Here is a 14,922-nt window from a genome sequence, read left to right on the forward strand (position 1 = left end):
TTTCTCTGACCAACCCTTCAGAGGTAGGTAATCCTCAGAGCTGGAGGATTTCAGGCTTCATTCCTCAAATCATTGTTTGGCTTAGGATGGCTATAAATATTTTTGTAAATACTTATTTAAGTTTTTTTTAAATTGAATAAATACCTAGGAATGTGATTGTTGGGTCATATGATATGTTTATATTTAAGTTTATAATAATATTCTAATAAAGACCAAAAGATAACACTTCATATGTGCTAGGATGGCTAAAATTTAAAAGACAGACAATAGCAAGTATTAGTGAGGATGTGGAGAAATTGGAACTTTACTATGTCGCTGGTAGGAATGTAAAATGGTGCTGCTATTTTAGAAAGTCTGACAGTTTCTCAAAATTTTATACATAGAGCTACATATGATTCATCAAATTAACTCTTAGAGTGATATCTGAGAGAAGTGAAAGCATATGTTTACCCAAGGACTTGTACATTAATAGTTATAGCCATATTATTAGTAATAACTAGCTAGTGAAATCAAGATACCATCATCATTCTTCACAGAACTAGGAAAAACAATCCTAAAATTCATATGGAGCAAAATAACCCACATCTCCAAGGCAAGAAGAACAAATCTGGAGGCATCAAGTCACCCAACTTCAAACTATACTACAAGGCTATAGTTACCAAAACAACATGGTCCTGGTATAAAAATAGCTACATAGACCAATGGAACAGAATAGAGAACCCAGAAATAAACACACATACTTACAGTCAACTGATCTTTGACAAAGCAAACAAAAACATAAAGTGGGGAAAGGACACCCTATTAAACAAATGGTACTGGAATAATTGTCAAGCCACGTGTAGAAAAACAAAACTGGATCCTCATTTCTCACCGTATACAAAAATCAACTCAAAGTGGATCAAAGACTTAAATGTAAGATCTGACACCATAAACATTCTAGAAGACAACATTAAAAAACTCTTGTAGACATTGGCTTAAGCAAAAAGTTTTATGACCATGAACCCAAAAGCAAATGCAACAAAAACAAATATAAATAGATGAGACCTAATTAAACTAAAAAGCTTCTGCACAACAAAATAAACAGCAGAGTAAACAAACAACCCACAGAGCAGGAGAAAATATTCATAAACTATGCATGCAATAAAGAACTAATATCCAGAATCTACAAGGAACTAAGACAAATCAGCAAGAAAAAAGCAAATAATCTGATCCAAAAGTGAGCAAAGAGAATGAATAGACAATTCTCAAAAGAAGATATACAAATGTCCAAAAAATATATGAAAAAGATTCTCAACATCATTAAATGTCAGGGAAATGCAAATTAAAACCACAGTGAGATACTACTTTACTCCTGCAAGAACAGCCATAATTGAAAAAGCAAAAAATAAAAGACAACATGAATGTGGTGAAAAGGGCAAGTTTTTACATTGTTGCTGGGAATATAAACTAGTGCAACCTCTATGGAAAACAGTAGAGAAATTCCTTAAAGAACTAAAAGTGGAACTACTATTTCATCCAGCAATCCCACTTCTGAGTATCTACCTGGAGGAAAAAAAGTCATTATATGAAAAAGACACTTGCACAGAAATGTTTATAGTAGCACAATTAGCAATTGTAAAAATTTAGAACCAGCCTAAATGCCCATCAACCAACAAGTGAATAAAGAAAATGTGACATATATATATATATATATATATATATATATATGCATCCGATGAAATACTACTCAGCCATAAAAGAAGTGAAATAATAGCATTCACAACAACCTGGATGGAGTTGGAGACCACTATTCTAAGTGAAGTAATTCAGGAATGGAAAACCAAATATTGTATATTCCCACTTATAAGTGGGAGTAAGTTATGAGGACTCAAAGGCATAAGAGAGATATACTGAAATTTGGGGACTTGGCGGAAAGGGTGAGAGAGGGGTGAGACATAAGACTACACACTGAGTACAGTGTACAGTGCTCAGGTGATGGGTGCACCAAAATCTCAGAAATCACCACTTAAGAACTTTTCCATGTAACCAAAAATTACCTGTTTCCCCAGAACTATTGAAATAAAATTTGAAAAACAAACACAGAACCTCAAAAATAAAAATTAAAATTAAAACAGTATGCCAGTTCCTCAAAAAATTAAAAACAGAATTACCATACAATCCAGCAATTCCATTTCTGAATATAGACTAGAAAGAATTTCAAAAGAATATCTGTATACCAATGTTCACACCAGAATTATTTCCAATAACTAAAATGTGTAAGCAACCCTTGTCTATCATACACAGACGAATTTATAAAAACAATGTGATATATACATACAAAAGAAGGACATTCTGGCCAGGAGCAGTGGCTCATGCCTGTAATCCCAACACTTTGGGAGGCTGAGGCTGGTGGATCACTTGAGGTCAGGAGTTCAAGACCAGCCTGGCCAACATGGGGAAACCCCATCTCTACTAAAATACAAAAATTAGCCTGGTGTGGTGGTGCATGCCTATAGTCTCAACTACCCAGGAGACTGAGGTGGGAGAATCACTTGAACCCAGGAGGTAGAGGTTACAGTGAGCCGAGATCGTGCCACTGAACTCCAGCTTGGGTGGTAGAACCAGACTTCCTCCAAAAAAAAAAAAAGGAAGGAAATTCTGACTCTGACATATGCTAAGACATGAATTAACCTCTAGGACATTACACTTAAGTGAAATAGGCCAGCCATAAAAAGGCAAATACTATATGATTCAACATACATAATGTTCTGGAAGAGTCAAAGTAATAGAAACAGAAAGCCTGGTGGTTCCCAACATTTAGAAGAAGGAGGAAATAGATTAAAGGAGTTCTGGAAATGGATAATGGTGATGATTAGACAACATTATGAACTTATCACTGGACTGTACAATTAATAATTGTTAAGATGCTACATATTCTGTTATGTGTTTTAGCAAATAATAAATGTTAGAATACATATTTAAACAACTTATGTACTAAACAAGTAATAATAATGAACATTTAAAATATTTAATTTATATTAAGTATTATACTATTAGTATACATGCACACACACATACACACAAATAATGTAGTATTAGAAGTTAGTTGATTTTTATCGATAGGATCTAAGATTGTTGAAACATAGATAAAAACTAAAAAAGTCTACTTTGATTTTAATGATGTAGTAAAATACCCCACAATTAATTTACAAGAAAAACTTGTAAAGATAAAAATATAATGTTGAATAAAATTTGTAGAGAGTTTTGAGTATCAGTTAAGCTGACTAGTTAAAAATTAGAGAAACAATAAACATATTTAAACGGAGACCATTTTTAACAACATTTTGTAAACATTCCAAAGTAGCAGCATGTAGATTTAATAAATACAGATTGATTTTCACATATTGGAGTACCCTTCCTCAGACAACCTTTTTCCTATCTCTGATTGCAAAATCTCAATTATGCATTTCACTTATGTGGTTGTTGAGAAAATTATTTCTTATTAATCAATGCTGTGTATAAACTATAGTCATACAAACTATGAAGATATCAAAAAGCCTGATATTTGAGTGATAATATTAATAATAATGTATTTTATTTTATTTCTTTACCAAAAGTTATAATGCAGTAAGTATCTCGTCCAAATCTCTAGGGAATGCTATCCCTGAATTAGATGAACTCAGTGCTTGTTCCCTTGTTCCTCATGGTGCTTCATTGAACCCACTGGCATGTGTATAAGTTGTTGAACTAGATTGTATTTCTTTCTTGGATTGTTTTAATTTTTGCTTCATTTTGTAAAAGGACCAACAATTCATAAATTTTGAATAATGTTAATACATTTTAGTTTTGAGGGTTTTTTAAATATTTTCCTAGAATCTATTATTATTATTTTGTCCCTTAAGTTCTTTACCAAGTAAGGATGTGGGTTTCTTTTCTCCCCACACAGAAGCAAAATCATGCAGGCTTTAGCTCCTAAATGCTTTGCCTTAAAATCTTTCTCAATAATTACAGAGAAAAAATAGCCCTGTAAGTGCCATTCATTCTGTAAAAAGCTGGTGAGACAAAGAGTATTCAGGTATTATTTTACTTTCAGATGAAAAATAGCATGCAAAAAGTTTTCTGCAGGTTTGCATTGTTCCATTACAATTCAATTTTTAAAAAAAATTTTAATCAAAGGAATGGAGATATAGTCAGTGCACTTAAGTCTCATTCTCCTTATATTTATCATGGTCAGTTAAAGAGTCAAAAATACTATCTTGGACACAGTACTGATGTTATCAAAGTTAATGATGGGAATAACTGAGAACTCAAGATACAGAAAGTACATTAAAGACTATTAGGAGCAATTGTTTAATCTTTTATGTGAGGAAAAGTTTAAGTTGAAGATGACACATGACTTTGTTTGGAACATATACAAATTTTTAAATTTGAACATATTACTCAATTTTACTATTCCTGCTTCAAAACTCTTTTGATACATATTTATTTTCCCCCAAGTATCAGCTGTATATTCCTTCCTTGTCTTATAACAGAATCATATTTGGGAATGTCAATTATTATTTAGCACCTGTTGTAGGGACAGATAAGTCTCTGTTGAGTTTTGGATTCAATAGTTCTGAATGACAACCACCCGGTTCCATCCATTCAGTTTTTTCACTGCCTTAAACAATCTACGTGAGAGTGTTTATATCTATATAATCAAAATTTCTAACTTCTCATTATAGTATTTTCCTAGGCATAAATAAGTTAAACTATATATGCTACTTAAGGGAATTTGAGTTGCTTATGTTCATTTAAAAATAGCCTGAAATTTAAGTAAAATATTAATTTAAATATTAAATATTAAACAGAAATTTTACTAAAATATTTAGGACCTGCTTTAGTCCATTGTGCGGCTACAACAAAATGCCTGAAGCTGGGTAAAGAACAGAAATTTATTTTCTCACAGATCTGGAGACTGCGAAGTCCCAGATCAAGGTGCCAGCAGGTTCAGTTGTCTGGTGAGGGCTGAATCTTCCAGAGAAGAGGAAGGCTGTGTATTTGCATGGTCAATGACAAACAGTCAAGTGAGCTCAACTCTGTGTGAAGCCCCTTTTATAAAGACCTAACTCGATTCACGAGGAATGGATGAATGGCCTAATTACCTGTTAAAGGCCCCACCTCTTAACACCTTCACTTCACAAGTGTAACATTCAGTGAGATGTGTTTCCAATTATGGTTTAAATGTGTCCACTCCATCTGGGGACACTCTGTGAAGAAGCCATGTGGCTCTTTCCTTATTGTGTTTCCTTAATGTGTTTCCCTTCCCTTATTGTCATAATTTTGTGCTCTATGGAGGATGAAATAGTTAGCTTCTTAGACTTGCCATTACAAAGTTTTTCTGTCACCCACAGAAAGCTGCCACAAACCTGACACATTGAAAGTCTACCAGGTCAGTTCAAATGCATCCCAGAAATAAACATTTCTTTACCAATCCTCCCTCTTCTGGCTTCCAAATTTTAAGAAAATTCATAATTAAAAAACCTTAAAAAATAACATTTGTATAGATCCTATAGACCAACAAGTATTAAAAAGATAATACATGGATATTACACTTTGCTATTACACTTGAACAAATTCACTGAAAAACGTTACTTAGCAAGAACAACACAAAAAATAGAACATTTTACTTTACATATCTATTAAATAAATCAAATCTTTAAGTGAAAACCTTCCCATAATCAAAGTTTTCCAAATAGTAAAGAAGTAACACTTTAAAAAAAAACAAAATTTTAAGGAAAATGCAGTTTTTCTAACTTGTTTTATGAGGATCACAAATATTGAAAATAATCCTAATGAAGATGTTAACATTAAAAATCAAAGCCCAATTCTTTCATTTAGAATGAAGCAAAGAAACAGTTTTTTGAAAAAGCAAATCAAATCCAACAATAAATATAAAAAGAAGAATATAGCAAGACTGAGCGGTGATTATTCCAGGAATGCAAGGTTGGTTTAAGTTCCAAAAATCAGAAAAATGCTAAATGCTCATCATCACAGACATAGAAAAAAAAGTTTAAAAATGTTAAAATTCACCAATTCTCTTTTTAAAAAAAAATTATAAAACTAACATTAAGAGGGACAGTCCTTAATGAGATAAAAAGGCATACATAATATTTAATATTAAAATATTAAAAGCTTCCTTCTAAGACTTTGAATAAGACAATGATTTCTGCATTATTGCTTATATTTGCCAGGGTGCTGAAAATCCTAACCAGTCCCAGAGAAAGCAAATACAATTAAATATGTAAGGAATTGTGCCTAAAGAAATAAAGTAATTATTTACAACTTACATGATTACATATAGAGAATACTCAATAGTAGCTACAGAATAACTTTTAGAATTACTAAGTGAATTAAATAAAACTGTTGACTACAAGGCCAATACTTATTAAAAATCTATTTCTACAAATAAGAAATAAGGAAAAATTATAATATCAACAACACAAAAATCAGAGACGCAAGAGGTCTAAAGGAAACTATAAAGTATTTTTGAAAGAAATAAAGAAGGCCTGTATTCATACTTTATAAGACTCAATAATGAAAATGTCTATTCTCCCACCACAGATTTATAGATTTAAAACAATCCAAAATCAATATCTATGAGGTGTTTTTGAGTGTGTGCGTACACAAACTATCTTAATGCCTTTCTATAATTTTCTAGTTATTTAATAATGTAAATACTGTGTAACAAACTACCACAAGGCTGATGTTCTATATGTCATGGTTTTGATTGTAAGGACTTCCAATAGGACATGACTGTTTGATTCTATTGTGACAGGGTCAAAAGTAACCCCAAGCCCTCACACAATCAATGGCAAGATGAAATAGTGTGCAGATCTTGCTAAGAGAAGTGCATAAGAATACTTAACCACTTTTAATCCACAGAAGCTCAAACTGTGGCCATGTATTTAAAATTCCTCCCTTATACAAAATGTACTTTCTTCTCCAAAGGCCCCCAAAGCCTCACTCTCTTACATAATTAACTCAAATACAGGATTTTATTATTTAAATCAAGTGGATTTAGACTATCCAGGGGTGCTTCCTCACATATGATTCCTGTTTATGTAAGGAGAAATTAGGTGAATTGATCCCTGTTTATGATTCCTGTTATGTGAAACAAATTAGGTGAATTTTTTCCCTTCATAAAATCAACATAATAATGACAAGAGAGAGACATGAAAATTACAACAGGTATTCTAATTCTGAAAGGAGTGATATGAAGGTACATAGCAGTCATGGATTCGTGGTAATTCAGAAATCTACTTCATTTGATATTGTAGTTTCTTGATTAGGACACAGTACTACTCCCCACGGCCTTATGAGTTATTTTTAATTTTACTAATAAGTGGTCTATGTTTACAGCAGCTGAGTATTATTCTCAGCCTGTTTACTTCCTGTAGAAATAATACCAAGGTTACAAAGGCCTCTTTTCATTTTAAACTATCTCTGCATTTTGCATCTAATCTGATACAATGGCTTTAAAATGTTGATTGGTTTCCTGTGTATCAAATTAATTCAATTAGCCGAAACCAAACCACTTGTTTTGATAGAGTAACTTCTCTAGCTTTACTTATAAGATATGATATCTTGGGGCCATAAAATCTTTCTTTGTAAAAGCATTTCATATTGACATGGAAGCATGATTTGACAAATCTTAACGCATTTATGCCCAGTTTTCCATTATTGGAACACTAAGCTTGTGGGAGTTATTTATATCCTGCTGCTCAAGGTAATTTCCAAGGTCTCATTTTTCACCAAAAAAATTTGCAACCTCTGGCATAAATGGGTTAATGACCCACTTGTGCAGCAGAGTCTAGGAGACATTCAGTTTATATTTTTAGAAGCCTTACTAAGCAAATTCATGTATCTTTTTTGTGATCTGATGAAAGGATCTTACAGCCACATCCTTGATATCTGTATTCTCAGGCTATGGATAACTAGTTGAGCCTTTGATTTGATTTCTGGCATGTATTCATTTATAACTTTGAGAGTCTTTTTCTGGTAGAAACTAGGAATATGCAACAATTTTATTTTCAAACCCAGCATGTCTTGGGGCCTTTATAATGACTCTAAATTCTGCCAAAAACAGAACAGTTTTTTCTTTATCTCATTATTTTTTTGTAATTCATCATAGATGTCAAGAAAGAGTATGGAACTTGCAACATTATGCCTGCAAATATCCTTGGCCAATCCTCAGAGATCATTAGTTACTCTTTCTATGTTCCTGATTACACGTTGCTTCCTTCTTGCTTGTAATAACATTTTCCTCACTGCTTTTACATTTCTTGTTAATAATCCCCTTGAAGCTCTTCCACCATTCAGTGACAGTCTCCCAGGGCCCTTTTAAGCTTCTCCCTTACCCACCAGGAGGAAGGAAATAAATATCCCACTCTATATAAGGAATGTCAGAGCACTTGTGGCCATGTTTATTCTGCAGTACATGACAATGATACAAGCACAAGAGAGAAAGCCTTACCATAAAGCACATATGGAGTGTCAGTTTCATCATACCACTTTTGCTAATATCTCTTTCGCTGATTCCAAAGTCAAGGGGCAGGAAAGTGCACCCTTCCATCTGTAGGAATAACTGAAATGTTATAAGGTAAAGATCAAGACGGATTCATATGTGTGGTCAACAACACTGTCTATCATCATCTGGCTGTATTTGAGAGTTAATTTGTTTCCAAGTATATGGACAAGGTTCTACTTGATTTGAAGAGAAATGTTTTGGCAAAGTTCAAACAGGTCCACAGAGTTTTCGATAAAAGAGCTCCCAATCCTAAAATATAATTACTTTCTTTTCCTCTGCCTTCACATTAAAGAATATTCAAAATGTCCTTTCACAGTATCAAGGCAGCAGATCTAGCAGGCATTTCAGTGCCTGTCTGTGTTGAATGAGAAAGTCTTTGTGTCAGATTCCAGAGTGGGATGTCTCTGGCTTTTCGTTGAATCTGGGTCCTGTCCTGCTATATTTTTTACCAAATATACCTATTCTGTTAGAAGAGAAAATTGAGACAGAAGGAGAGACCCTGGGACGGAGAAACAGTTCTTTAAAATGGGTGTTTTCATAGTTCGACTTTACTTTTTTAAGGTTTCATATTAACTCAACCATCATGTCATCTTAAATAGAAATTTTATGCATAAAGTGAGGTTTCCTTTTTCCAGAGGGAGGCAAGAATAGAAAGAGAACAATTTGTAATGAATGCTTTTTAAAGTTAAGAGAGGTATATTTGGACATATACATAGTACCCAAATATATACCATGATATTCAGGGGAAAAAAACTTCAAAATTATATGTATATTGTACATAGAATTATATGTATATTGTGCATATAATTATGGAGTTTTTCAATTAGGAAATAAAAAATCACACTCGTAGAATAGCTTTCAATTTAAACAAATTATGTACTATAGTATATCTAGTTTCTTAAAGTACCATTAATTGTTAATATGCTACCATTAGTCCTTAAGCATGTAATTAATATTCTACTAACAGCTTAATGTTATTTGGCATTTGTTACTAATGAATAGATGTTTAATTAAAGCCAAGTTATTCCATGGAAACCACACAGCTGACATTTTCTAATTTCTCTATGAATAGACTCTGCTTTCCATATCCTACCAGGAGGCTTCAATCTTTATTGTGACAGCCATTAAATTTATACCAATACATGGTAAGTGGCATTGTAGCTTATTTTATTAGCAGTGTGATTGTTTTGTAAGTGAAATATTGCAAATATTAAATATTTTAGATTATAAGTTATTTCTTTTAACTCTGAGAAGTCATGAATATCATTTTTGCTAATTTTTTCTCTTAATTCATAAACCAGAGCTACGCTAAAGAAAGAAAAACTGAATTCTATAATTATAAATGAACAAAAGTATGTCAAGATTATGTCATCACTTCTAAAAACAAATTTAGAAGCTAAAATAATATACCATAGAAAAAACATTCATTTGAATCTGACACAAATAAATCTGTGAATAAATAATTCCTGAAAGTGTTCTCACAGAGGAGAAATTATCAGTTACCTGTCAAAGGGCAGGGCTGACCGAACATGTGTGGTCATAGAATTTTCATATTCTGTGAACATAACTGACATAAGTTGAAAATCTAGAGGAATAAGAATACAATGATTTGAAGCTTTTATGTTTATCCTTACTTTCTTTCAATCTATTCTTCATTTCATGATGAATATTATTATTTATAAATGTCTACTATTAAGACTGACATGAAATATGAATACTTCTTGGGGGCATAGAGATTTTTAAATGATAGTCACTATCATTACTATTGTAGTCATTATAGGAATTTTGCATCAAACGAGGCATGCTGGTTTCGTGATGTTTTGTACCTATTCTTTAACCCTTGTAACTTTACCTATATGCACATATAATTTATTCTGATCAAGTAGCAAATAGAATAAAATTATAAGTCAGTCTCAAGGTTTTTTTCATTATTCCTGAATGAAAATTAGAAACATCACGATGTATTCCACAAACAGGCACAATTACAATGTGTCAATTAAAGATAAATTTTAAAATTTAAAGGATTTAATAAGTTCTATTTTTAAAGTCTGCACTTTTACCCCATCTCCAAAAAAGCACACCCAAACAACAACAAAATTCTTCCAGATCTAAAACTTAAAAGAAATGGGTCAGGAAGAAGATATGTAACTCTGAAAACACTAGTAGATCCTCTAAAATAAATTGTCCTTGAAAATAATTTCTCCTGGCTTTTGTACAGCATTATTATCTCTTGTAGTCTTAACTGACTTGTTTATGATCACACTATGATAATTTTCAAGTTCTAGATAGTTCTTCTCAGAATTTACTTTAGTATCTACCTTTTTTTTATATTTTGGTGCATCAGTTAAACATTTTATCATCCTGTTGCATACCAAAAGTGGTCATCATTATGGACATTGCACAAAGTCCATTGTAAGAGATTAAAAACATAAAACATTAATATGTATTTGCTATCTATATACCATGTAAAAATTTCTTTACATATATAGAAAATAATAAGTGAGTGGAGTTATATGGATTTTTACCAAGGGCATTTTAATAAGAAAGGAAGTTTTGAGTGTGGATTTTCAAGATAGGTGGAAGAAAGGACATAGAAAACCCTTCATTATTTAGTGCAGCACACATTCACATAAATACTCACAAATAACTTTTTTCTGCATTATTTTGATTTTTTTAAGTAAATAATTTCTTTTCCATATCATCTTTATTAAACTATAATCCAAAGTATTAAAATTCATTTTAAAATAGCCAAACAATATAAAGAAAGGAATACTTTTTATTCCATTAATTACTATTGGATTTTTAGAAACATAACCCCCCCTCCAGTACCATGTAACTCCAATCCAGGATAAGAAATGTATGTGTGTGTGTGTGTCTGTGTGTGTGTGTGTCTGTGTGTGTTTGTATGCAGGTGGGTGTGCATGTGTGCATATGGTATATATGTGTATGTACTTAGCAAGGGTATGTTTATGTACATCAGAATAATCCCTAAAAGGATGTCGCATAATAGGCAACTGAACTAGTGAACTAGGGCATTATCACCAAAGACAAGTGCACTGAAGAAAACCTTACATATCCTCATCCTTTAAATGATCTTTGGAATACCATGAAAAACAAAAAGATAATATTGAGCTATAATAATGTTCACAAAAAAGCCCCAATAGTTCTCTTATAGAATCAGAATTATATATATTATTTCTGGGGATACATATCTGTTTTCATATCATAGAACTCATTAGGTGATTTCAAAAGAATGCTGTTTATAGTCATTTAAATGCATGAAAAGCAAATTCATACCTCTAGGTAGATGTTACAAATCTTGAGACATGATGAAAATGCCAATGACTTTCTCTCATACAATGGTAATAAGAGAAAAAAAGGTGGTTCTTTGAAGATAAGTGCCACTTTGGCACCTAAGTTTTACTTTGGTGCCAGAAAGCGGAAGAAAATATCTAGAGCATTCTATTAAAATATCTACTTTTCCCACCCATCTTCAGGAATGGATATTTTTGTCTTAAGTAGCCTGTATTCTTCAGTCTTCCTTTTATGTATTTGTCTAATATGATCAAGGTCAATTTCCACCTGCACAACATGATATAGTTATCAATAGGTTTTTGGAGCCTGGTGCAGCAAAGGCACTGGCAGTTTCGGGAGTAGAGCTCCTATGAAGAACGCCACATTCCCAGATGGCCAAAAGCATTTGAAACATGTGTCCACATTCAGCAGAATTTTAGGCCTATTAAAGTTTTCAAAGGACTGCTGTAAAAGTATTTGCTTTAAATTATGTAGAAATATTGCAAGTCTGTGTAAATCATTTCTTTATAAAAGAGATGCATTATAGTGATGGTGTAAATAAAACGGAAATTTTTAAGAAAATTTTTTTACATATTTTTCCACAGTGAGTATCACAGTTTACACCATTCTAGATATTATTTAACTCTCCTCCAAACAGGTTAGTAAACACATGTTCCCTTGAAGTATTGTCATCTACTCAGCAAAGTTAAATACTTCACCTTCACACAGGATGAAATATTATGCTTAAAAGTCGACTCAGGGCCGGGCGCGGTGGCTCAAGCCTGTAATCCCAGCACTTTGGGAGGCCGAGGTGGGCGGATCACAAGGTCAGGAGATTGAGACCATCCTGGCTAACACGGTGAAACCCCGTCTCTACTAAAAATACAAAAAAAATTAGCCGGGCGTGGTGGCGGGCGCCTGTAGTCCCAGCTACTCGGGAGGCTGAGGCAGGAGAATGGCGCGAACCCGGGAGGCGGAGCTTGCAGTGAGCCGAGATCGCGCCACTGCACTCCAGCCTGAGCGACGGGGCGAGACTCTGTCTCAAAAAAAAAAAAAAAAAAAAGTCGACTCAGAAAGCATTTCAATAACAAAGATTTACCCAATGTCTTCTCCAGTTAAAATGGTGTCTGCTTGTTATAAACATTGCATTATATAATCCTTAAAATCTCTCTCCCTCCTTCCTCTCCTCCTTCTTTGTGTTTTCTTTTCTCTCTGCTTCCTCTTCCCCCCTTCTTTTCTCTCTCACTTTTTAAAATATTAACTAACAAAAAACAACTATCACTACTCTAGTTGTTCCCAAAGTGTAGCTTTCTGAATGTTTGAGTTAAGAAGTTATGTAGAATTGGGCTTAACAAGATTTAATGAAGAGAAAAATATTATTTTCTCTAAGACTAGATTTTGTAAAGTTACTTTTCCACATATACTTCTAATCATATTCTTATGTTTTATTAAAAAAAAAACCATTCTTCCAGAAAAAAGTCCAAGATTTTCCAGGAAAGTAGTTCTTACAGTATTTTGTAATTTTACTGTCATTTTATATTTCTAAAAGAATATCTTGTTAACTTCTTAACAAGGGACAGGCATTTATTAAAAAAGAGAGTTCTTGATATATGCTTCATACAAAGAGATTGAGATTTACTTCTGATATTCAGAAAGTGGCAGAACAATGTAAATAAAATATGCCTATGAACTTAGTGTTTTGCTAAAAAGTTTTTGCCAAAGATGCTAAAGTTAACCTTCCATATGAGGCTGTATTGGAGCATTTCACATGTTGGGGTGGTGAGAAACCACAGATCAAAGGTTTTCCTCACTATTACATTCTGGGCTACCATTTTATAGCAAACATTTGGTAATGTTCTTTTGCACGTAAGTTCAAAAAGGTATATGTCTTCAGTTTTATGTAATGAGGAAGAAAAAGAATGCAATATATATTGCAATAATATATACTCATATGTAAACATTTGTCATCGGAGTGAATGTGGATGGCAGTGGCACTTCACTGGCTTCACAGTTTCATAGATCTGCTTTAATCATTTGTGGTGTGGTCTAGAAATTGGAATTTTACAGCTTTCCAGATGATTGTGATGTCCAGCCAACGTTGAGCCCACTGCTAAAATATACGTGGAATTTACTTGAACGTGAGAGCCACAAAAACAACTCGTACAGTTTAGGGTTTATTGATGACCCTAATGAAATAAGTTTGCTGTATCAATGATATATTTATCTAAAATGATGAACATCTCAAATATATTTTTTAGAAATCTTCCCTTGATTTATTTGACAATACACATCTGCATGTTAAAACTCTTCAATAAAGTCTCTATGTTTACATGTAAAAATATGCTTTTTTTTTCAACAATCTCACTTTGTCGCCCAGGCTGGAGTGCAGTGGTGTGATCTCAGCTCACTGCAAACTCCGCCTCCCCGGTTCAAGCGATTTTCCTGCCTCAGCCTCCCGAGCTGTTTGGATTACAGGTGCCCACCGCTCTGCCCAGCTAATTTTTGTATTTTTAGTAGAAACGAAGTTTCACCATGTTGGTCAGTCTGGTCTTGAACTCCTGACCTCGTGATTCTCCCACCTTGGCCTCCCAAAGTGCTGGGATTACAGGCGTGAGCCACCATGCACAGCTGTAAAAATATGTTTTATTATCATGTGATTATACACAGATATGTCAACATAATGCTGGCAAGAATATGAGAAAATGGCAGAGGACACATTTTCCAACATGTCCAGCATTTCTGTTTTCCATGACTATATCTCCAATTATGGAGAAAAGCAGAGATGCCTCCACACCTTTGCAAAACACTGCTTAGGTAGTGTTGTTGAGAATTATAAAGAAAATCTATAGCGTTAACGGAAAATACTTTTTTTTCAGGAAGTAAGTTATCTGTGAAAAACATTTCTTCAGTTACATTTTGTCTTCTTGCCTCCACTAATATAAAAGTAAGTAATATATTTGCAGTTCCTCATTTTATATGCACCTAATTTATTTTCTGGCATTTACTTTGTCTGAATTAATGATGCTTTTAGGGACTCACTTTCCAATTTAAGCTATATGATAACCACAAATTCATGTAAA

At 33.1% G+C, this 14,922-nt stretch overlaps 2 long non-coding RNA genes across 5 annotated transcripts in view; one reads left to right on the plus strand and one right to left on the minus strand.

Annotated features, from left to right (window-relative positions):
* Positions 1-14,922, plus strand: part of LOC107985178 (uncharacterized) — a 125,185-nt gene that overhangs the window by 74,512 nt on the left and 35,751 nt on the right. The window contains exons 3-4 of the long non-coding RNA XR_001753480.1: positions 9,621-9,693; positions 14,719-14,786. This is a non-coding gene — a long non-coding RNA (uncharacterized LOC107985178). The remainder of the gene's footprint in view (positions 1-9,620; positions 9,694-14,718; positions 14,787-14,922) is intronic.
* Positions 1-14,922, minus strand: part of LOC101927404 (uncharacterized) — a 121,424-nt gene that overhangs the window by 29,356 nt on the left and 77,146 nt on the right. For 2 of the 4 annotated variants that reach the window (XR_935580.2, XR_935581.2), the window contains exon 4: positions 8,495-8,605. The exons of the other annotated variants lie outside the window; for them this stretch is intronic. This is a non-coding gene — a long non-coding RNA (uncharacterized LOC101927404). The remainder of the gene's footprint in view (positions 1-8,494; positions 8,606-14,922) is intronic. 4 annotated transcript variants of the gene reach the window in all.

This window comes from Homo sapiens, chromosome 18, assembly GCF_000001405.40.
Source record: "Homo sapiens chromosome 18, GRCh38.p14 Primary Assembly".
NCBI lineage: Eukaryota > Metazoa > Chordata > Mammalia > Primates > Hominidae > Homo > Homo sapiens.